Source organism: Homo sapiens, chromosome 15, assembly GCF_000001405.40.
Source record: "Homo sapiens chromosome 15, GRCh38.p14 Primary Assembly".
NCBI classification, from domain to species: domain Eukaryota; kingdom Metazoa; phylum Chordata; class Mammalia; order Primates; family Hominidae; genus Homo; species Homo sapiens.
This window is the reverse complement of record NC_000015.10, coordinates 94575016-94599587: the sequence shown is the minus strand read 5'-3', so window position 1 is coordinate 94599587 and position 24572 is coordinate 94575016. Positions and strand designations below refer to the sequence as shown.

The 24572-nt window shown below is 42.4% G+C and overlaps 1 long non-coding RNA gene across 1 annotated transcript, besides 1 other annotated feature; it reads left to right on the top strand.

Moving 5' to 3' along the window:
* Positions 1–10331: 10331 nt before the first annotated feature.
* On the top strand, positions 10332–16076 carry LINC02852 (long intergenic non-protein coding RNA 2852). The gene is made up of 3 exons (XR_932641.4): positions 10332–10491; positions 14763–14834; positions 15543–16076. It is a non-coding gene; the product is annotated as a long intergenic non-protein coding RNA 2852 (long non-coding RNA).
* Positions 22475–22554: an enhancer, noted in NCBI's record as "active region_10135". NCBI's record gives its function as "activates an Ori minimal core promoter by ATAC-STARR-seq in GM12878 lymphoblastoid cells {active_cell/tissue: GM12878}" and the evidence as "EXISTENCE:reporter gene assay evidence [ECO:0000049][PMID:35858748]".

Below are 24572 nucleotides of genomic sequence, written 5' to 3'. Positions count from 1 at the left end.
CTCTACAGGACTAATCTCCTTTCCTGTTGGGACACTGCTATTTTTTGTGCAGTCCTTTCTGAACACTTATCCTTCCTTTCTAGGGTCCCCAGAGTCTTAAGTGCATCTTACTCACTAAAGTACATACAGTGGTCCCCTCTTATCCTCGGGCAATACGGTCCAAGACCCCCAGTGGATGCCTGACACCAGGAATAGTACTATGCTCCACAGAAACTACGTTTTTCCCTATACGTACCTGTGATAAAGTGTAATGTACAAATTAGGCACACTAAGACATCATAACTAATCATAAAATAGAACAATTAGAACAATATACACACTGTAATAAAAGGTATGTGAATGTGGTCTTTCTCTCTCACCAAATACCTGGTAACTGAGGGGTCTACTAAGTGACTTGTGGGTGGAGAGTGCAGACAGCGTTGCTATGCTGGACAATGGGATGATTCATGTCCCAGGAGGGATGGCAAAAGATCTCATCATGCTACTCAGAAGGTGCAAATTTAACACCAATGAAATGTTTATTTTTGGAATTTTCCATTTAATATTTTTGGATTATGGTTGATCACAGGTGACTGAAGCCTCAGAAAGCAAAACTTCAGATAAGGGGGTAACTACTACGTAACCTTGTTTCATAACTATTGGTTTGTCTGGTGTTACCACACTGGCTACCTTGGAAGTTATTTGATGAAAGAAACCATCCATCTTATGTATCCAGTCGAGTTCCTGCCCTACAGCAAGAGTTCAAATAAATATTTGTTGAATTAATGGATGAAGAGATAAATGATGGAAATGAATATACAATGTGTATAAATAATATACAAAGTCCACCAATTTTTGTATATAAATAATAGCCCATTCTTTATCTCTGCAAAGATCACAGCAAGAATATACACGAGAAAATTGCAGGAAAAAAGAGTAAGTCAGAGTACAGAAGAGTTTTCTTGTCCTGACACATTGGAGTACGTTGCCCAAATAGAAGAGCCTTTGCTTAAAATAATTTAACAAAATAACAAAGAACATGTCTTCACCAGTGATTTATGCCTAAATTTTAAGCATTTTCCAGCCTGATCGAGAGTTTTGCAAAGTTGACAGCCCATTTCCATTTGTGACTCCCTGTTCTCATCTCTCTCATGTCCACAGGATAAACATTTAGTTTAAATGTGTCATTCTGGTCAAAAACATTCTTGCTTCACTGCTCATTGGTCTGGACCTTGATTTCCTAGACTCATCCTGCTCCTGCCACCCAGGCCTTCCTCCCTGAAGACTCTACCATGCAGCCTCTGATCCTCTGGAAGATGCAGTTGAGGACTGGTCCTTTGAATGCAGATCAAGGGGTCTCTGTGCACCCAGAGGGCCCCATGAGTTAGAGCCTACACCACTGGAGTCAGGCTCAAGCCAACATGGTTTCAAGATTCCTGCTCATTTCCTTCTTACTCATGTACCCACCGGGGCAGAAGCCCAGTCAGCTTGGCTCAATAGATTTAGGTCTTGCAAACTCCTTTCCCTAAGTGTGTGTGTGTGGGAGGTACACAGTGAAGAGAGACTTCTTTCTGTGTCTCTAATTCTGCTGCAACCCTGCATGGCCTCATGTTCCGGGGAGGTGGGATACTTCTTGTTCATTCCTGGGACTTGCTAAAAATAGTCTGGATTATCACGTTAGAAAATCTCAAATTTGTGGAAGTGGTGGGTGGATGGGGATGGCATCACACCGCAATCAGGTCCTTTTCCCCATTGGGCTGGACATGGCCTCAGGAGCCTTATTAAAACACTGCCTGATGGCTGCCCCAGTTCAGTTGGTGTTGGCACGCATCATCAAAGCCTATCTTTCACCCCTGCCCCCAGCCTTACTCTCATGCCCTATCTGCCTGATGCTAAGGATTCTTTGCTGCTTGGACATCTATGGTGGTGTCTGATTTTAACCCTGGTGCCTACTTGAACCACAGCTGCTTTTGCTAGACCTGGAGGCATACATTGGTATTTTCAGGACAGGTGGGTATCCCCTTACCCCACCAATCCTGAAGTCCTCCTATTTACTCTGACTGCGTTGCTGAGGACCCAACATGATATTCAGGCCAAACCTCACAATTTAGGCCAAATAGCTAAAATGACTAAATAAAGGTTTCCACACACAAGGAGGAACAGCCTTTGCCATGCTGAGACCCTCACCCATATTCAGTGTTAGCAAGATTGTTGATCATGTAAAAGTCTAATGATGAAAACAGCAGGAACCCTCTGGGTACATCTGAGTGCTGTGGGTGGATTTTCTCACTGGAACCTCAACGAAACTAAGGGTACTTTACAATCTGGCCTCATCTACATTTATGAATTCATCCTTCACCTTGTTTCCCTTGAACCGTATTTTCCATCCCTGCTAAGCTAAACAGACTCTTGCATCTTTTATATGTATCCTCTAACGTGTCATTTTGCCATTGGTAAACTGAGGTTTGGACTGAGAAGTAAATTTACACAATGAGGAGGTAGCAGAACTAGAGATCAAAGCGTCTCTGCTAACTGAGCCACTGTCTTAACCACTGATTTATACCAGTAGATGACCAAAAAAAAAAATCTTTCCAAGTTTCTGAGAGAGAACATCTTCATGACACATTGGCTTTCAATGACTGAATGTGTGCATAATAGTCATCTATGAAAACTTCCATTAAATAAGCTTGCCTAAAGTCCTTAAGGGCAGTTTCAGTTCTCTATAGACAGTGGTCTAGATGGGAAAGGTGAAGAATATATGCTTCCCTTTAGCAAATACATAACCTTAAGATTTCAGTAGTTTGGTCTGGGATCCCAAGGAGTCTCACAATTGCCCTTTTTGGGTATGAGACTTCTGGCTACAGAGCAGAAGGTTGTGTAGAAACCTGTCCCTCATTCTAAGGGTTTTCCATATTCCCCTTTCCCTAGAGACTGGATGTATGTTAATTGTGTTGAACTGGAGGAGGTGGAGGGGAGACAGTGCTGGGACTATCTTGGGCACAACATTTAAGACACCAAAGAAGGTCAACAATCAAAATCATTAATATTTTAAAACTATTTTTAAAAAATCAAAATAATAACAATTATTATTATTATTTGAGACAGAGTCTCACTCTGTCACCAGGCTGGAGTGCAGTGGTGCAATCTCAGCTCACTGCAACCTCCACCTCCCGGGTTCGAGCAATTCTCCTGCCTCAGCCTCCTGAGTAGCTGGGACAACAGGCACGTGCCACCATGCCCAGCTACTTTTTGTATTTTTAGTAGAGACAGGGTTTCACCATGTTGGCCAGAATGGTTTCGATCTCTTGACCTCATGATCCACCCGCCTTGTCCTTCCAAAGTGCTGGGATTACAATTAATACAAAAATCCTTGGTGAACAAAATATCAAAATTGTACATAAACATGGGATCAGTATTACTGATTTTCTTAGCCCATTTGGGCTTCTATAACAGAATACCACAGAATGGGTATCTTATAAACGGCAGAAATTTATTTCTCACAGTTTTGGAGGTGGGGAAGTCCAAATCAAAGTTACTGGCAGATTCAGCACCTGGTGAGGGACTGTTGCCCGTTTCAGAGATGGCTGCTTTTTCCTCATATTCATACATGGAAGAAGGAGGGGGGATCGCTCTGGGGTCCCTTTTATAAGGGCATAAATGGCACTTACGGGAGTTCCAACTGCATGACCTAATCATCACTGAAAGCCTCTATCTCCTGCTAACATCGCCTTGTGGGTGAGGATTTCATCATATGAATTTTGAGGGGAAACAAACGTTCACTCCATAGCACTGATAGTTCCTTGGCTTCAGACTCCAGTATGAATTCAGCATGGCACTGGGTGGAGATGACATGGGGTGAGGAATTTAAAATTGGAGACCTTATAAAATCCTTACTACCTGGTCTCTTTTCGAGTTAGACCATGCCAGGAACATTGTTGAAGTTATTCTAATAGAAGGCAGGAAATGCACTTTTCCAGTGTCTAGAGGGCTGGACTTAGTGGTTATAAGCAAGAAGCAACTGATCCTTTCTCTCACTTGCCCTAGCACAGCCACCCTGAGATCCCAAACCTCCCCATCCTGCTTGAAATCCTGAGCTGAACCCAAAGCTTTTCTAGTTGTCCCTTCTCAGTGAATAAAATTGCCTGATCACTTTTGAGTAAGAAAATACCTAGCTTAGGGCCATATCAAAGCTAAGTTCTCAGCCCATTTTTAACCTATTCTAACTTCTGGCTCAGAACTAAATTCATGGGCAGGGGACCTTATGTAGGAAAGGGAGGCAGGGTCAGATTCCTCTCTTCCTTGAGCCACCTTTTCAACCACATGTTCCTTGCTGTTCAGGTCCCCTCCAGGGGTATGAGGGAGAAGAGGTGAAGTCCAGGAAAGGCTTCTATGACAAGAATTGTTGAATTCTGATACCAAAGGCTTCTGGCTGTTGTGGGACCCAGATGCTGCATCTTTTTCACATGGGACCACTTGGGATAGGAGTGGAGGGATCTCTAGACAACTACTATTTTCAGGGCCTCTATTCTGTGGTTCCCCTGACATGAACAGAGTCTCTCCTGATGGCCACTTAAGACACCCTCAGTCTTGTTTGCATATCTAAGGCCCTTGGGGTTGCCCTCTTAGATGGATCTCTCTCCACAGGATGCAGTCTTGCTTCTTATTAGGACACAGCAAGTCCCTGAGAAACAGGTTCATTGGCCCAGCCAACTCTGGAGTACAGATTGCTCCCCATGCAGCACTGCCTCTTACCTCCAAAGCTACCCAAAGACACCTCTACCCACTACAATTTCCAGCTGAGAGTCAAACATCTGTCTCCACCTCCACGGCCACACACATCCAGCAAGGAACACACGTCAAATTTTCCACATGGCTCTCCTAGCACTTACCAATTAGCCAAAGAAAAGTAGAAGCATGACCTCTCCCCCATAAGAAAGAGGGGCAGGAATCACCCGGAGCAGAGACCACTCACACTCTGAAGACATTCTTCAACTTTCAGCAAACTCAGTCTTTTCCACATAGTCTAGAGCTGTCTCCAAAATTTCACACCAAAAAAGGTGTGTTTTTAATTCTCTCCAAAAAATACATTAGAATTCATATATGGTTGGATTGTTTTAAACATGTGTGTAAAATACAAACAATTTAACATAACGTTATTAGAATTAGTACTTTTCCTAGATATAGCGTGATATATGCAGAAAATGATACAACACACACATACATATATACACAGTCACCCACACATGTGCATGTGTATGAACCTAAACACAAATGGAGGAAATAAAAAGTTAAACACCAAGCAATTTTCTCATCTCATGTGGGCTAATTTCTCAGCCAGATTTATAGATTTTTCTTTCAAAGCTAACTTCCATCCATTAAATTCTTCTCCTATTGCCCTCAGGCAGGGCTCTGTTGACACGTCTGATCTACCATGCAGTGAGGCTCCCACTTAGTCTTCCTATATGCATGTTGCTTTCCGTCTTCTAGGCCACCCTACATAGCTCTGTCCAATAAATCTTTCTAAAAGACAGTGTTATCCTGTATCTTTCCTCTACAACCATCAATGGTTCCCTAGTGGCTACTGAATAATTTCAAATGCCTAGATGTTTTTCTTCCATGACTTAATGTCTTATTATATAGAATATCTCTATTTGAGCTAAATGTATTATGTTCCAATTCAGATACACTTTCGTATCTTTGCACACAGTAGACACATGATCAATGTGATGAAGAGAGTTCTAAGTGTTCATGGTGTTAAAATATTTGTGAGTAGGGTAGTGCTTGACGTTTAAAGGGTATTCTAACAGGGTTCATGTGTATATCTCTATTAAATTACAATTTAATTTCCTCTTGTGCATCTATTGACCTGATTCATTACACATTTTTTAAGGAGAAAAACTATGCTCTTTTATGAATGAAAACCCAGTGCCTGGAAATCATTAAATGTTCAGGAAGTGAATAAGTGAATGTTACTCAAAAGATAACAGATCAACGAATGTGTTTAAGGGACTGAAAAATAATAAACTTATATTAACATGTTAAAAATATAAAAAAAGAAAACAGACAAAAATATAAGATATGTGTTTTGGTCAGGATAGGCTAGGTTGGCTGCATAACAAACATCACCAGTAAGTCAAGGGTTCAATGCAACAAAAGTTCCTTTCTTTGCTTACACAGAATCTAGTGTGAATGCTTCTGGTTGGCAGTGTCCTAGATTTTCCTCAATGTGGTCACACAGGACTGAGGTCCTTCCATCAGCTCACTCCCCACTAACTCCTCCTTAAAGCTCTCTTCTTGGTCCAACCAGCTGACAAGCAAAGACTAAGAGCATGAAGGATCTGCTAAAATGAGGTATTTTAGGAACCAGGCTGAGTATACGTGCCAAGTGCTCATTACTTCCAGGCACATTTTATTGACCTTAAATTCAAGTCCATCATCCATCTGGATTCAAGGTAGTTAGAGACACATGGTTTACATTGTACATAGGGATGGGGGGAAACCAAATTTGACAAATACTTGCAGCCTCTCATGCACTTGATTTTTCTGTATAGATTTAGATCAAGCACAGAACCCCTTTCTCTGTCAATCCCATGAGCTAGATCTTGACAACCTCAATTGCAGGGAGATTATAATAGTTATCAATTACTGCATGTCAAGTTACCCCAAAACTTAGCAGGTTTATACAACATTTATTATTCCAGAGTTTCTGTGGGTCAGAAATTCCAAGTATCCCTTAGAAGTTGGGTCCTCTGGCTCAGGATTTCTCAGGGCTACAGTGTAGTCTTTGGTCAAGGCTGAAGTCATCTCTGGGCTATACTGAGGGGATTGATGTGCTTAGAGGCTCATGCAGTGGCTGCTGGCAAGATTCAGTTTCTTGTGGGTTCTTATACTGAGGGTGTCAGGTCCTCACTGGCTGTTAGCTGGAGGCTGCCCTCAGTCTTGTGCCTGTGTGTGGGTCCCTTGAGAGGGCAGCTTGCAACATAGCAGCTTGACTCAACAGAACAAGCCACCCAAAAAAAACAAAGGAGAGAGGTGATCAAGACAGAAGCCACAGTCCTTTCTAAGTTAATCTCATAAGGACATTCTATTATTTTTGCCATAGTCTATTCATGAGAAGCAGATCCACACTTAGGGGGAGGTCTATGCAAGTGCATGTGCACCAGGAGGCAGGGGTTACTGCCAGTCATTTCAGAAGCCAGCTGCCACAGAGATCATAGAACAGGACAACTCTAAATGCCTCAACTATGGTGACTGAGTGGTTGGCTAGCACATTTAATTAATGGGGTAGCCAAGGAAATTTGGTTCACGACATTTTGGTGGTGGAAGAGAGAATTGCAGAGAAGACTTGGGGGAAAGAGAGATATCCAGTCAATAGAAGCGTTTCCTCAGCAAGTGGTGTACGCAGTGTTAAATTGAAACTTTACCATGAACAGGGAAATTGCTTTCAAAACACTGTAATTGAAATAGCTGAACTGAATAAGACAATAAATTAAAGGGAAAAGAGTGAATTATATAAAAAATATATATTACAAAGATTTCTGTGACGATATTCAGATCTATATCAGAGATTTGCTCTGAGAATTAAATGAGATGATGCATCTGAAACCAGCTGATGCAACAAGTCTCTCTCAGGCGAGTCCTGAGAGTCTTTCAACAAGCTCCCAGGTAACCCTGATGCTTCTGGCCTGAGGACCACCCTTTGAGTAGCAGGGACCCAGCACCGTGCCTGGCTTATGTATACTCAATGAAAATGGTTCCCCTATCTCAGTGGTCCTCAAAGCTGAGCGGACATCAGAATGAACAGAGGGCTGTGTTGTAAGACAATTTTCTGGATTCCATTCCCAGAGTTTAGGAGTCAGCATCTCTGGGACAGGGACTGAGCACAGTAAATTCCTAATACAAGCCATCATCCCTGCCCTCAAGGAGTCACAGTATATAACTCGTAAAAGGAAGTATCTCCTCTCCTCTGGAAAAAAAAAAAAAAGCTGTTTATAAACCCAGCTACAGTGAGTACCTTGGAGCTATTAAAACAGTAACAAATGCCTTAATTAGGGCAAGAACAGGGAGTTCTGTAAATCTCCTCCCAGGTCCCTCTGAAGCAAGCAGCTTCCCCCACTGATGCAACCAGGAGTTCCTTTTTACTTTATAAACGTTCCTGAAACAACAAAATTAAAGTCCTCCAAAAATGAGATTATAAACGTTAAATGCTATTTACAAATCTCATGATAGAAACTGCAGCAGAATTCATTTTAATATTGTCACTTAATAAATATGCCACAAGTTTTTTGTTCCCCTCTAAATTATCTTAAATTTCTTCAAAATATGAGCTCAGAAAGAGGGTGAGTTCTTATTGTGTGTGGCAGGGACTGGGGAAAGCACAAAATTAAGTAAACTATGGGCACTCCCCAGCCCCCTCCACCCATAACACCCTCAGTCGCCCAGAGCTCAGAGGGTACAAACTAGAAATCAACCCACCAAGTTCATTTCTAACTCAAGCCTTGGTGTTGCGATTTTACCTACTGAAATGCTCTTCCCTGCAAACTTTGCCTGGCCTCCTCTTCCTCTCCAATCTAACACTTTACCTGGCCTGGCTTTCTTCTCTTGGGAAAGGTTGCAGTGAGCCGAGATTGCACCATTGCACTCCAGCCTGGGTGACAGAGTGAGACTCTGACTCAAAAAAAAAACAAAAACAAAAACAAAAAAACATAGCGTCTCCTCCTGTTGAGGGAAAGGATGAGCCGTCTAGCCCAGGGAAGAGCCGAAGTCAAGGTGCTGGGGGCTGCCAGGATGCAGGTGGCTCTTCGTAAGCATGGGTGCTTGTGGAGAAGTGGTGGGCAGCCACGTGGAATCCAGGTGTGCAGAGGGCAGACTGTGAGTGTCTTGTGTGGGGTGCTAAGGAGCTAGTTCTTCCTGTTGAAATTCAAAGGCCACTATTGAACGGGAGGGAGGCTTTATGGGGTGTGTTTTAGGAAGGTGATAGGGAAGCAGAAGGAAGATAGAATATTGGGGCCTGGAGTGACGGAAGGAGAAAGGGCTCCCAGTATAAAGACCACTGCATTCATATAGTCAGGAGGGAACGGGTCCCTGGAGACCAAGGCAACAGGTCCATGAAGGTCATGTCTAGGGAGCACGACTGAGTGAATCCACTCAAGAAAGATGATCTCCTACACTTTTCTTTCACATTCGCCAAAATGAGGCTGTAATTGAATGTTTGCATCCCAGGTTTGAAACCTAATCTCAGAACCAAATCTTCCCCCTTTTTACAGGTTCCTGAAAGTCCTCTGGCACCTTCAATTGCCTGTATTCATCATAAGTCTGAAGTCCCTTCTCTTAACGCAGCGAATGCCTCTGCTTCTTAAAGAAGCTAAGCTCATCTCCAACTCAGGGCCTTTGTGTTTGCCATTCCCTCTTCTTGGAATGCCATTCCATGTGATTTTGCCTTCTTGGCTGCTCCTCATCACTCACCTTATTACTTAACCATTACCTCCTTAGGGGGCCTTTCCTACCCACTTCCCAGGGTGCCATATTTCCAGCTTTTACTTTCTTTGCCCTTTCATCATTTAAAATGGCCCAGCACTCTTATTTGTTAAAGTATTTATTCTCTCCCTTTCCTCAATAGAATGTCTTGTGGGGTAAAAGAATAAAGATTTTTCTCTGGCTTTGTTGCTTTGACCTCAGTACATACAACAATGCATGGCACATAGTAGATGCTCAATAAATTTGTATTGAATGAGTGACCCAAGGAACCAGAAAGGTGAAAATTAGGATCTGAAGATACCCTGTTGCTCAGGAGCCACCATTTATTCTCTTTTCTCAACGACATTCTCTTCCTCTATTATTATATTAATCCACCCACAAGGAGAGGAGAGACTTGCATCAATGCAAGAGCAAATTCTCCAAGGCAAGTAATAAATCCCACTGCAGGTTTTGCCCAGTGGATATCAGTTCTGGTAGTGGGAAGCATCACTTTTTCTCTGGGCAAGGTACATATCTATGTGACAGCCTCTGTTTATAATAGCTACCACAGAGACCAGACAGGAGGCATTAAAAATTAAACAAGAGAAGAGTCGATCAGCTTCCAATCTTGGGTTTATAGACAGGAAAATGCTTAATGACAGGTGGTCTCTGTACCAGAGGTGGCCTCTGAGAGACATTTCTCTTGATTTTATTTTTTAATTAACTTTTATTTTCAGTATTTTGTCCCCCTTTTCTGCCCCCGATGGAATAATATTTAAATGATAAAAGGCTCACCGCTGTTTCCAGAGCAGCCCAGATCACCTCTCCACCCAGCTGCAAGGGGAGGGAATCTTTAAAGATCACTCTGTTTTGGAATTCTAATGTTGCCAAGTGGCACACATGGATTCTCATCATATGGCTCCCAACTGCAGTTCTTTAAGCTAAAGAGTGCAGTTCTTCACGCTTCCTTGTGACAGTCTCCTAATTACCCATTCTGAGCCCTCTGAAACAGCATTCCTCCTAGTTAAGGATCTCTGCCATCACCGCAAGACACCAGTGAGTTGACTATATTTTATTCAGCATCTATCCACTGTGCATGAATAGTAAAATAGGCACAGTCTAAGGCTTACTATGTGGCATTAAGATATATTCTGACTCAGAACAGAGTCACTGTTAGATTAAATATAGAATATATATATATGAATACACACATAAACTTTTATTATAATGTAGTCATTAATACTTCCAAGTAAGTCATATCTTACTTTAGTATGAATGCTGCCCTCTCATATCCATGATCTCGTCTGATTTTCACAGTCACCCAGGGAGATAGCAATCGTATTCTACTCATCTTACAGAAGTCAAAGCTAAGGCTCACAGAGGCTGAGTAACTTACCTAAGGTCATATAGCTAATGAGTGCCATAGCTGAGATTTGAACCTAGGCAGTCTGATACCAGAGCTATGCTTCACAACACTGAAATGTACAGGTGTGTCCTGAGGAATGATGAAAGGAGAAAAAAAATAATTTTGGAAGTATAGTAGGAATTAGATTGTGCAGGATCTTAAATGCCATGAGAAGTCATTTGGAGTTTATTTAAGTCACTTAAGGAAATATCAGGGTTTGAATGAAAGGTCTTTGAATAAAAAGACTGACAGTTTTACCCTCCACTTTGTCACTTTATTATAATTAAAATTATATATATATACATATATGTCTGTTATATTTGTGCCACTCTCTTTGCTAGAATGAATCTGTGACATGAACAGAGTCCTTGTGTGACTTATTCATTGCCTACCTACGTCAATGTCTGGCATATATAAGGCACTCAGTATTCATTGAGTGAATGAACCAAGGAAACCATGTCTAAAGCTCCAATGCCATCCCAAGCCTGGACCCCGGGTTCCTTAAACTAAAAGCACACCATTGTCCAACACAGCTGTCCTAGATGTTGAACAGAATGACCCCTTGGACCCAGCCCCATCCGGTTCTGCCCATCCCTCACAACAGACTTGGAATATAAACCTGGCCTCAGGTTTTCTTAGAAGACAAGATGGCCTTGTTCTGGTTTGCTGAATGTAGCATACCACTCTGGATTACCTGATTTGATAGGGACTCTTGTCAAAAGTGGTCACCTTGCCTATCTGCTGTGCAATTTCCCTTTATTATTAAGTGTTGTATCACATAGCTTCATTTGAACAGTAGTAAAAGAGGAGGCAAAAAAAGAAAAGAAAAGAAAAGAAAGAAACCACCCACATGTGAACTCACCCCTCCCTGTTCATTCCGACCTTCGCTTCATTGCCTCCTCCATATCCTCCACTGTTAGTACAGAGCACTTAACCTTCCACGGGGTATTTTTATGCTCCATTTTCTGTGCCATTATGAAGGAGATGAAAGTAAATGGAGTTCTCTTTGGATGGGAGCTGTTATCACCCACTTACGGGCTTTCCCACCCTTCCCACTTCCCAAAGGGGAAACACAGATGCAAAGAGAGTGAAGGTGTTTTCGAATTAAATGCATCTCAGAAAGCCAGGTAGGCAAGAACAAATATGCCTTTTGCTAGGAATGCCAAACTAGTAAAGCACCTCCAATTGATCTGCACGGAAGAGCATTTACTTAGTAACAAAGCAGACCAGTGCAAGACCGGCTAAGCTGTCTTGTTTACTCCCTGCCGGGGTCTTGTGCTTCTCATTTCCAACACTTGTCACACACAACTACTTGTGTAATGTCTGCTTTCAAGGATATTGTTATGATGATCTATTCTCATGTAACTTAGTGGCTGAAAACAATAACAGACATTTGCTTTGCTCACAAATATGCAATTTGGGTCAGGCTCATTAGCAGTAGCACATGACTGTTATACACAGGGCAGCTGTGTTAGCTCCACTGAGGTCTGGAAGTGAGTTATCTATTCCAAGATAACTCACTCACACAGCTGGCAGTCCTTGCTGGGAACTGAGGTGGGGCTGTTGGCCAGAGGGCCTCAGGTCCTCTCCAAATGGGCCTCCCCATGAAGCCCTTTGGCTTCCTCAAAACAGGGTGGCTAATTTGCAAATGCGAGTGTTCAAGACAAGAAGAAGAAGTCATCAATCTCTTAAGGGCTGGTCTGACTGTTAGGAGTGAATTGTGTCCCCTTGAAAAGACATATTGGAATCCTAACTACCAGTACCTCAAAGCATGACCTTATTTGGAAATAGTATCTTTGTAAATATAGTCAAGTTAAGAGGTAGTCATTAGGGTGAGGCCTCATCCGACGTAACTAGTGTCCTTAATACAAAGGGTACATTGTGACAGAGACACAAATGTGCACAAAGAGAAGACAATACAAAGACTCACAAGGAGAATGCCATGCAGAGATCAAGGCCGAGATGGAATGATGCATCTACAAGCCAAAGATGGCCAGCAAACCATCAGGATGTGCGGAGAGGCATTGGACAGAGTCTCTTTCAGAGCCTCAGAAGGGACCAACTCAGCCAACACCTTATCTTGGACTTGCCACCTCCAGAACTGTGAGACAATTAATATTGTTTTTAAGGCCCCCATGTCTATGGTATTTTGCTATGGTAGCTCCAGGAGACTAATATACTGATACCACATCGCTGTTGACCAAAGCAGTCACAGAGCCAGCCCAGAGCATCAAGAAAATTCTTGGCCATCTTTAAGGACCACAGATATGGAAGCAGAGGCCATGGCTATCTTGTTTTTCACTACTTCACCACTGCCTGGTACATGAGTGGTGTACAGTGGATCTTTGTTGAAAGAAAGAAGAGGTTCCTCATTTTTTTTCTGCCTCAAATTGATTTAAACCTAACCTTCCTACTGTAATATTTCTTTCTAAAACATTCTAGTTTTTAGTACACAGACAAAAAAGGTATCATGATGGTTAGTGGCGTATGTTTCACTTCTACATTCTAAATTACAGTATTTCAAAGAAGTGTGTAGCCTACTATCCTCTGAGCCTCCACCTGCTGCCCGTGTACAGGCAAGGAGACTCGGTATGGCTGGAGCCCTAGGAATTGGGAAACTGTCAAAGAATCAGACCAGCACTGTATTTCCAGCCTCTTTTCCCATTAGGGATATACACGGACCTCTGAGTTCATCTGAGAAGCTCTTACTGGAAAGCTGATGCTATGTGCATATGGCTATGCCCAGGAAGATTACATTTGGCCAAGACCTCCTCATGGCAGGACGCAGAAACAGTGTTATGCTCCACAGCTCCCAGAATTACCAAAACAGGAGGAGGAGAAGGAGAAAGAGAACAGAGAAAGAAGGGGAAGAAAAGGAGGAAGAAATGGGAGGACGAGAACAGTTATTATTGATTAAGCCCCTACTATGTACCTGGTACTTTACACATGTTGTTTTATTTAATCGCCACAAAATTTTAATGCCGCAGGTATGAAGCTCCCTGTTGTACACCTGAGAAAACTGAGGCTCATAAATTACTGACTTTGTACCCATATCACACCATTAGAGAATGGTGAGACTGGGATTTAAATTCAGGTTCATAGAACTCTGAAAGCCACGTTTTTCACCATGACGCAGAACCAAGCAGAGTGGAGGGGTCAAGTTTATACCACACAGCCGTGTGCTCACATGGGAAGACCAGAGTCAGGTACCACGGAACGAGTCATTAAAAGTCACCTGCTGGTGTATCAAAAGTGACAGAAAACCTGGGGCTCTGGAATCCCTGTTTTCTATTTTGGAATATCCAGCTCATTCTCCTAATTCAAAGAACAAATTTTCCCAAAAGTGCATGAAATCCCACTGTACAGTTTCATACCAATTCACACACACACTTCCTCACTGAGTGCGATTTTTCTTAAATATACTATTGGCACTTTCTTAATAACTGTGGTCTCTTGGGAAAGTCATGTGAAAAATATCTGTTTCTATTTAAGACAGACAAAGGCAGGAGGAGAAAGGGGGCCCTCTCATCCCAGTGGCGTGCTGCCTTTTCCTGCCCAGCATTTCTTTCCACAACCGTTCGGGCCCGAGACATGTGATTCATTACACTCCCTTTCGCCTTCTCTCCTTGATACTTCAGGCCTGGCAGTTTGGAGGAAGAAGGAAGAGGGAGAGGGAGGGATGGGAGACAGGAGGGTATCGCTGATAAGCACAAAGACCCAGCCAACTCCGGAAGCCCAAGCTGCACACCGCTAAGAGGAGCTGACTTCCAGCAACATGAAAAGATGAGTGAGGAGGCGGCTTACGGGAACTTCCTTTTCTTGTGGTGTGGCCGGGTCATAATGGTGCTGTGGTTACACAGCAAAGGCTCATTAAAACAATAACTAAACCACAAGTGCTATAACTAAGAATTCTCTTTTGCAGCACGCTTTGCTGAAATAGCTGGAGAATGGGTCCCTGTCTCCTGCCACTTACTCGCCCTGCTCCTGGTGTACGGTAAGATTAATTTAGAACAGAAAAGAGGAGCAGAAATCCCTTACATCCTAATATAACTTTCCGGATGACAGTGAAGAGAGGTTCAGGCGCTTACATATTCAAGAAAAAGCATTGTAGATAGATCTTTCTGGATCATAAGGAGGTCTCCATTTAGAGTTAAATTCCACGTTCAGAGTATAATTTTCTTTGGGCACTATAGAAGTGCCGTAGCTCATGCTATCATGAAAGAATGGCTGGCTGCATTTTCAAAATGCTTCCCTAGGTGGTACATGCATTTGAATTAGTGAAAAAGGTAGAAATGAAGAGCCAAAGGCAAGTAATTCAATATAACCAATTGGCATTTTAAAATTTCACATTTCCCTAGCACCTTTTTGCTTAACTCATCTAAAATTCCAAACAGCCTCTCCCAGGACAGATAAAAATAACCCTATAGTTCCAACAATATAAGATTATAGGGGGATTTAATCCTAAATTGTCCATTTCTAAAATGTAAGTATGACCGAACTATAGGTCATTCAAGCTCTTTTTCAATTATCATATAACTGTGTCTGGCAAACATACTTGCTTATTCCCAATCCCCGAATTGCAATGGTTTTCTATTCAGTACCAACTAACATGCAAACTTTCTAGCCTGGCCTTGAAGATTCTTTAAGTTCAGGTTCTGGCCCACCCCAGCTCTCAGCTCTTTTCTCTTACACTTCCCAACAGGCACACCGCATGTGCTAAAGTGGATTTCTCATCCTGCTCCAAGTTAGCCAAGAGCATCTGTACAACCACTGGGAAGTCAACTTCACTTCAGATCTCGCCTGCACCTCTCCACCTTATGGTCTGCCCAGGAGCTAATGGATTTGGAGATGTAGCAGACCTGGAGCTAACTCTATCCTGCCGCTTATTAGTGAGGCAGTCTTGGGCAGAGAGAACACTGACTCAGTTGAAAGTGCTCAGAAAGTCTTGACCTCATAGAATTCTTGCAAGTATTAAATGAGAAAATGAATATAAAAGACTCAGCAGAGCACGTGACATAAAATAAGGACTAAAGAAAGAGAGGATGTTGTTGCTACAAATATTACTACCTCCAGTTGTCAAAATCCTTTCATCATGCCAAAAGTTAATCCAAATGCAACCTCCAAGGTTATTGTATTTGGAAGCGCTCTTTCCCCTCTGAACTGTAGAGCTAAATTGCATAGAGGGGATTTCTCACATGTAGCTATTCCATGTAATTATTTTAATATAATATAAAAATAAGAATGTCTAATACTTATATATGTGTTCATTAGTACTCTAAGCACTTTACATACATTATTTCATTTACTCCCCACAGTACCTCTGTGTGCCTTGTACTGTTATTATCCCCATCTTACAGATGAAGAAACTGATACTGTGAAATCAAGAAATTTGTGCAACATTGCATAGCTAATGAAAGGAGACTCTGGGAGTCAAAGACAAAAAGGCAGGCTCCAAGATCTCTGTTCTTGCTGCTACTTCATCTCTGCTTATATCTTATCAGGGTAAGAGAGGGTGAGTCCTTAAATTTTGTGCACCAGAGCCTCTCCTGTTTTACAGTATTCCTGGTGCTATAATCTTATTGCAATGGAAAGGAAATTGAGTTTAAGGTCATAGACTTGGCCTCAAAGTCCCCTTAGCCTCTTAAATAGCTGTGCAATCTGGGGCAAGTCATTTAATATTTCAAAATCTCCATTTGCACAGCTGGAAAGTGGAAATTCTTAGAAGATTATACGAATAATATATGCATATCAAATGCCTATTAGCCAACGTATGATAGGTACTCTATTAATCCATTTTATTAATACTAGTTTGAAGGTTTTAGGTACCAGGGATCAGATTTTATATATTTTCTTTGTTCCTCTTAACTGAATCTCAGAAAAAAAATTTCACATTTCCTGACACAGAGGAACAGCTCAACATACACATCTGTGGCCTGATTAAGTGAATGTATAAACAAATGCCTGTGTGATATAAGAAAACAATTCTAGAAGAATATAGAAAAAATGTCATATTTGGCTGAGTTTGTACCTGAAAACCTTATTAATGAAACAGCACATTCCTTTATGTTGCAATGACATTTGGAGTCTTCTTTAATACAGCAAGTGCTCTCTTCCACCCTGAGACTGCCCTAGTTTAAGGCCAGGGGACAGTCTGAGGTTGACTCAAAGGCCGACAGCACCACCTACTGAACTGTGACTTCCCACATCCCAGAAAGAGGCCAAAGTGTGAATTGTGTCAAGACCATGCCACAGCCCTTAACTCCAAGCTTAAACAGAGCTTAAGTGAACACGACAGGATTGTGAAAAAGATAATGTCTCTAGGAAAAGGAGGGCTCATTTAATTTGCATGCCTCGCTGTCCTCTGAGGAGCCATCATTTGTGTGTTTTGGTGGCTTTGGGAAGCAGGCAGCCCAGTGGCTCTAATCTCAGCCTCAGCTGGGGACCAAACTAGAGTTCCTGGGAACTCATTTTTCTCATAATTCAGCTGCATTTTACTAAGAATCGTATAATTCTTGTACAAAAGCTGCGGAAGGCTACAGAGCTGTTCTTGCTGGATTTTCCCGTGAAGTATGGCGACATTTAGTTAAAACGTTCAACAGCAGGATAGCCTTGGATGAGGTGATAAAGGTCATCAGCGCCTGGCCTTCTCTCCTTCATGAGTCACTGGCAAACAGCACTGAGTTTTGACTCAGTTTACCTGCTTCCTGCTTTAGCATCTGCTCATTAGTTGAGGGGAATAGTGAAAGAACCCAATGTCTAAATTCCAATCATGTTGGACTTGTTGACACTGAATTGCCTGAGCATCTGACACAGTTCCTGGTGTGTAGTAGATGATGCATAAGTGCTTGGTACATGAATGAATGAAACACACTGGCCCTCTGGCCTGGGAATGGGAACTTCTTCTCTCCCATGCCTGATGTTCAGCTCTGCAACCACAATGCAAGTTCCCTTCCAGAGCCCTCTGGCCTCCTTCATTCAATGCGAACTGTGACTCTGGTGCCCGTCATGTACAATGCATGGGGCACCCAGACAGCAAAACTCTTAATTAAGGAGAGTCCCAACTTGGTTCATCTCACTGATTTGTTTCCAGTGTCCAGAAGGCTGAGAACCACATAGTCAGGTTGTTGGAAAATATTTGTAGAGTGAGTGAATCAAAATACTAGCAAAGGGAGCTCCACAGAAGGAGGAACAAGGGAAAGAAGGGAACAGAAAGACGGGCGGGGGGAGGAGAAAAGGAGAGGAAAGAAGACAGCCCTCCAAGGAGGATGGTGGAAGCACTTATGTTAGAGAAGCAGCTCATACATGTGTCTGCCTCCTCAGCTCAACCAAACAGCAATTCTCATCTCTACCACCGCTGTTACTCCTGCATGCCCAGCCAGCCCTTGCTCCTTCTCCAAAGCTCAGCCAAATATCCATCCTCAGTGGAGAGCCTTGTAGTGTGGGTCGGGGGTCGGGGTACATTCCTTTCCACAGCCCACCCAATGGCTGAGTCCTGCTTTCTAGGGACACACGAGTGTCCATCTTGGAACCCCAAATAAGCTCTGCAGCCGGACTGCATCTTTCTGTCTCTCTTGGTCTGTCTGGCAGCCGGTCTCTTCCTCTTTCTCTGCTTCCCTTTCTGTGGGCCTCTCTGTTTCTTTGCCTGTCTCCATCTCTTTTTCCCTTTGTGCGTTTGTGTCTCTACCTCTCTCTGCATCTATCTGTGTCTCTGTGTCTACTGTTGCTATGTCTGTCAGCTCTGTGTGCCTTTCTCTGCATGTCTCTCTGTCCTCGTGTCTCTTTCTGCCTGTCTCTCTCACTTCTCCCTTGCTCTCTTTGTGCGTACTCACAGTCTCTGTGTGTGTCCTCTTCACTCTCAACAGATTGCTTTGTCTTTGTGTATATTCTAGTGGCATCTGACATAAAAGTGTCCTGTCTTTCCTTCCCATCCCTCTACTCCTGACTGAAATCCTTGGTGGAGGCGCTGTACACCGCTTATTTAAACCACAGAATTGCAGAGTCCTTCGTGCTGACAGCAGCACTTTGGGGGAATATGCCTCACCATCCTCTCAGCTTACATAACCACATGAAGGCCTGAAATAGAATGTTCCAGAAACAGGTTACCTCCTTCCTTTACTTTCCCTGGAAGGTCCAGAGAAGCCATCAGCTCCTCGATGATTTGGAAACTCCCTAAATTGTATATACTAGAATGGCCTCAGTGCTGCAGAGAGAGGGGGGGCCTGAAAGAGGTCATTAGGAAGATTTGGTCCGTGTGCCTCTCTGTGATGAAGTCCATGTCTTGGCGCATTGACAGATAACTGGCAGCTCTCCCTCCCTGGAACTCGGCTTACCAGATTGAGCAGCCCAGACAGCAGTTTAACCCGAGGGTCAGAGGGCAGCCAGGCGTTATCTACCAACTGGCTGTGTTCCCTCCGCCTCGCTGAGTTCTGCCTTCCCTTATAGACTCTGACAGGAGGGGCCAAGCCACGGGGCTCCCCCTAGGATTTAGGGATGTAAAGAGCCTTCCAACACCCCCCCTCCCATTTTTAAGTGCATGAAACTGAACACAGATTCCTTATTAATAACATATACCGGAGGGAACATCCTGAGATGCAGGAAATGAGAGAGACAGCACATCAATTTGAGGTGTGCACAACACACACACACACACACACACACACACACCCCAGTGTGCGAATCAAAGCCATCTTGCGAATCTTCAGTTGATTAAAGATGAGGATTGAAATGCATCTTAATAACCAGAAAATAACTTACAATCTAACATCTTGATTGTACTAGATTTCAAAGGGCAGCAAGATGTGTTGAAATGCACATATCTAATCACCAGTGGAATTAACAGATTTGCAAAAGTTGTGCTTGAGAACATTATGTGTAGCTGTAACACAGCATAATCAAATTCCCATTTAATTTTATTAATGTTAAAATTCAGACTCTTTGCACATTACCATTCTTTCTAATATTAAATTGGGGGTTATGGAGAAAGCGCATTTTAAAATGTTTTCTTTCTTGTAGGTATTTTAAAGCAAAATCGTGTATTTTCATATCTTATTATTCATTTGAGTAAGAGCGTTCCCCCCCCCCCCCCATCAACCTTGATCCCACAAACCAAGTTGGGTATAATGGAGACCAAGATTGGCTGCTCCTGGCGCTGCAGGCGTCTTGTCTAGGCACTTGTGGCATTTTTCCATGCACTCTCTTGGCTGTGTTCCTTTCCCCTTCCTCCATCTGCCTGCCACTCCAGTCCACTGTCAACGATGTTTACACATAAGCCCATTGTCCTTCACTGGCTGCCAAGGGCCTGCATGATCTTCTCCTCCTCCCTCTGCAGCTGTGCTGACCATGCATCTCAGAAAACCCAGATCCCAAGATATTTCTGTCACTCACCTGAGACCTCCATGGACCAGGATCCCATCCTGGCTGAGCTTCAGAATCGCATTGGGTGAGGGGTGAGATGCCATGCAAAGAAGACTTTGAATTTTATAAGCAAGAGACCCACATGATCAGAATTGCATCAGGACTTTTAAAAAAGAATAGAAAGAAGGGGTATGAATTTGAGCAACAAGAATTTGGGAGTGTGATAATGGTTTTATTTGGCGTTTAACAGTCAGGCACATAGAAATCAACATATATATCCAATCATTGTGACTGGGATTAACATTCGGGTCCATGGTTATGTGGGATAAATAAGGGATTCAGAGAGGAAGAGAGAGAAGACAGAAACAACGTCTTTCCATGAAACAAGAAAAGAACCATTTTTTAACTTAAATTACCTAGCAGGGTTTAAAATACCACACATAGAATAATCTCACAACGGTCACTGGGTTAGAAATGCCATTTTTCCCATTAATTGGAGAACTGTAGCTTGGAGTCAGAAGATTTGGGCCCAAGTCTTGCTTTTATCTCTTCCTAGCTGTGAAACATTAGGCAAAGTACCTTGCCTCTCTGAGCCCAGAACACATGGCCTCTCTGCAATCATAACGAGTACTCTGCCAGCTTACCAGAGTAATTTAAATAATTTACTGAGAAAGGAAGGATATATCACGGTGCTCTGTAAAATAGAGACGCACAGATGTAAGGTGCTATTAATATAAAACTATATTTATTAACATGATTCTGGCTAAATTCACTTTTTCTCTTTTAAAAAATAGTTGAATGTCCAAACACTCTGCTTTTTCTGCACAGTGCCTCCACAGGCTTCATTTTTATTTGTGAAACCAGGTGGTTTTTGCCAATGAGTCCATGAAATGTCGTATTTATCATGATACCAAGAAAGGAAAAAAAGATTGGCACACAAGAAATGTGCTAAGGCTTGAGTCACACAGGCTTGAGCTCACATCCCAGGTCAGCAACTTAAAAGCTGCATGGCCTTGAGTATTTTACTTAAACTCTCCGTGTGCCTGTTATCTTAAAAGGAAAGGAAGAGAATGATACTCTTTGCTTTATTTTTGAGATTGTATACTATGTAAGCAAAACTGGGACAAAGAGTGTGGAATTGACCAAACTCCATTTAGATACAAATATCAGAAACCAAATTCAAGCTGGTTGAAGGGAATTTGTTGCCTCTGGTAACATTATTTTTCATATATAAACACATTTTCGTCTACATCTATTTTTATCTGTAGGTAGATAGGTGAAAGAGAAGTAAATACAAAGATGGAAAGAGAGGTAAATATATAGATAGTTAATAAATAAGTAAGTAGTTAGAAAGAAAGGTAGATGTAAAGATAGATCAATTGATCAATGGAACATATCTTGGATCCTATGCCCATTGCTGTGACCAAGAAGAGGTCTGTGCTGTGAGGGTCCCACTCAGTCATAAAGATTATGGGAAGAGCCAATTCTCCCAAAGAGGAAAAAGTATTGGACAGACAAAAACAATCCAAATCCACTACATTTCATCACAAGGCAACCTAGCACCCAGGTATTGCCATTTTGCTTTATACTCTTTTAAAGTTATTATCTTGCCTGATACAGACAACTACAACACGCTCCCCTCCTTTCCAAAGGGAGACCACGCAAAGGTATGTCTGCATACTTCATCTTGCTCAGAGTCCAAGCTCTCTGGGTGGTATGCATTCTTCTTTGTTAGGGCCAAATACAGAAGCCTCTACTCTGGTGATCTGGGATAACTACAAATAAAATCTCTCCTTGGAAAAGTTCCCCTTTTCCCAAGATCATCAGAGCACAGGGCAGCACTGTATGAGAGAGCTTTCAAAGGCTTACTTCTGGGGCCTGAAGAGGCGGTTCTTCATCAGCCAATTGCTTGCACCTGGATCACAGGGACGCCCACACTTAACCACCTTGTTCGGTGAACACACCTGATTCTGAGAAGGGTGACCAGAATCATTCCCCTTTGTGGGGGCTGAATCTATTAGCACTCACCTTCATTTAGTTAAGTCACCAGGACTGGATGATGGCTTTAGAAATGGAGGAGTCACAAGTCCTGGTCTGCCAGGCTAGGACTTTCTCTCGAAACACACTGCCTTCATAGACAGTCGCTCTGCTGGAATTCTGAAATCTTGTCATAAATTAGTTAATAAAGTCATTGCTTTAAGCCTCACGTAAGTTATTTGAAACCTAGTCGTGCCCCATCACCTTTGGCCTAGTTCAACGTTGCCCTCTAGTGGCTGAGTGTGACACCTCCCGGTTGTTCCTCATCTCACCAACCCCAAATCCAAGGCATCCTACAGCTGCTATTCATGATAAAACCCAATGGTCAATGTAAGAGTCATGTGACTCTTTGCACGTGTTTTCTTTAAGTTAGCCAATCCACACCTGCCAGGAAAAGGCCTACAAGACATCCACGGACCTTAATAAAGGCCTAGTCCCACAGGTCTCCTCTCTCCTGAGCGCCTCACCCCTGGTCGCACTCCCTGCTGCTTTCGGACATTCCGTGGGCCTCCTCAACCTCTCTGGGATTTGTAAGTAATACATTTCTTCTGCTTCATGCATTTTGGTTTTCCTGCCTCGTCGTATCTCACTTGAGTAACACACCAAAACCTAACTTTCTCCCTTCACTTAGGACTTTTCTTGAGAGTGACTGTATCAGCTATGGCCACTCTCAACAAAGAGATCTCAGGACCAGGTTAGAAAGAAATCATAACCACACAAAGTCTGTATGCTCTGATAACTAACACCAAAACTCGTGTTGAATTGTTTGACTTGTATAAGAAGCCCGTCTTTGCTCATTTGTCTCAGCAATAGAATAGATGTTCTGCCCATTCCAATAGCCTTAGGCTTACTGACTTCTTTCTTGGCTTGGCTTAGAGCAGTTTAAAATGTTATGTTTGCAGAGGTGAGGCAGGGCTGGTTGGCCCCTCACCCTTTCTTTGCTCTCTCTCCTCTCCCTGGCTGTATCCAGAGGACGGCACAGTATGGTCAGGGAATACCTACTAGCAGATAACATTGGGTAAATACGTGAAAATCAGGCTTCCCCAGATGGATTTGTAGTGTGTCATCTTGGTGTAGGGTAAATGCACCTGATAGCAATAACTTAAGCATACCCTTAGAACGACCCTGTTTGGCAGACGCACCTGAGTGTGTGTTTTAAGATAGGGAATCCAAAAATAGCAAACTCAGAACTTCATCGTCTGTCTATGAGGAACATCTGAGCCCCTGACCCATTCTGTGGAACATGGGCAGTACAGAGGTTTGAGGGCCCTGAGTGTTGTGTTAAATGAAGGTTGCCAGTGGAGGTCATTAGGGGAAGGGTGTTAAGTTAAAAATGCTCTACAAGATGCATGCTGCTTGCAAGTGGTTACAGTTTTCCTGCCCAGCCTGGGCCATGCAAATATGTTATCCAGCCCAATGCCACTGGGCCATTTCTGTGCATAAGGCGGTTCTTCTGACCAGTCCACCGCCACAGGACCCTCTCCCCTGTATGTAAGCTCCTAATAAAACCCCATGTCTCATTTGCTGGCTCTGGGTCTCCTCATAGGTCTCTTAAAACTGGTGCCTTCTCTGTTGTGGTTAATAGGAGTTCAGCACAACACTTGGCTAGGCTGAACATATTTCTTAGAATTCTACGACTTACATGTTTCCACTTAAGATGAACCTATTTATTGAGAAGTAGTTATAGATAGGTAGATAGACACATTGAGCTCAAATGGTTACTAAACCAGCAAGCCATAGGGAGAATCAGTAGAAACCAAGGATTATATGGTTGTTGTCTATAAACGAAGATGGTTTATCTAATGCTTTGGCCAGTAACTGGCTTCAAGATCTATGTATTAAGTTGATATTAACTATATAGTTATATGTAATGGTTTTATATATATATAGTTATCCATATAGTTATATAACTATATAGTTATCTATATATCTATGTATATCTATATAACTAGTTATATCTATATGTAGTTATATAACTATATGGTTATATCTATAATTATAGTTATATCTATATATAATGGATCTATATATCTATTGATAACTAACTTATAACTATATATCATATAGATATAACCATATATTATATTTATATGTATTTATAGCTATTTTATAGATATACACACATACATATAACTATGAGATATCTATCTATCTTTATCTTAGTGGTTCTACTTCCAATTGAACTTTGGTTCACTCTTCTGTTTTCTCTATTTGACCATCTTTAACTCTGGGTGGAAGTGTTGAGTTTTGAAATTTCACACAGTGCTAGATTATTTGACCCTCATTTATCTTGTTGCTGTTTGTGAAAGAATGAGCTTCAGTTGTAATTCAGGATCCAGTA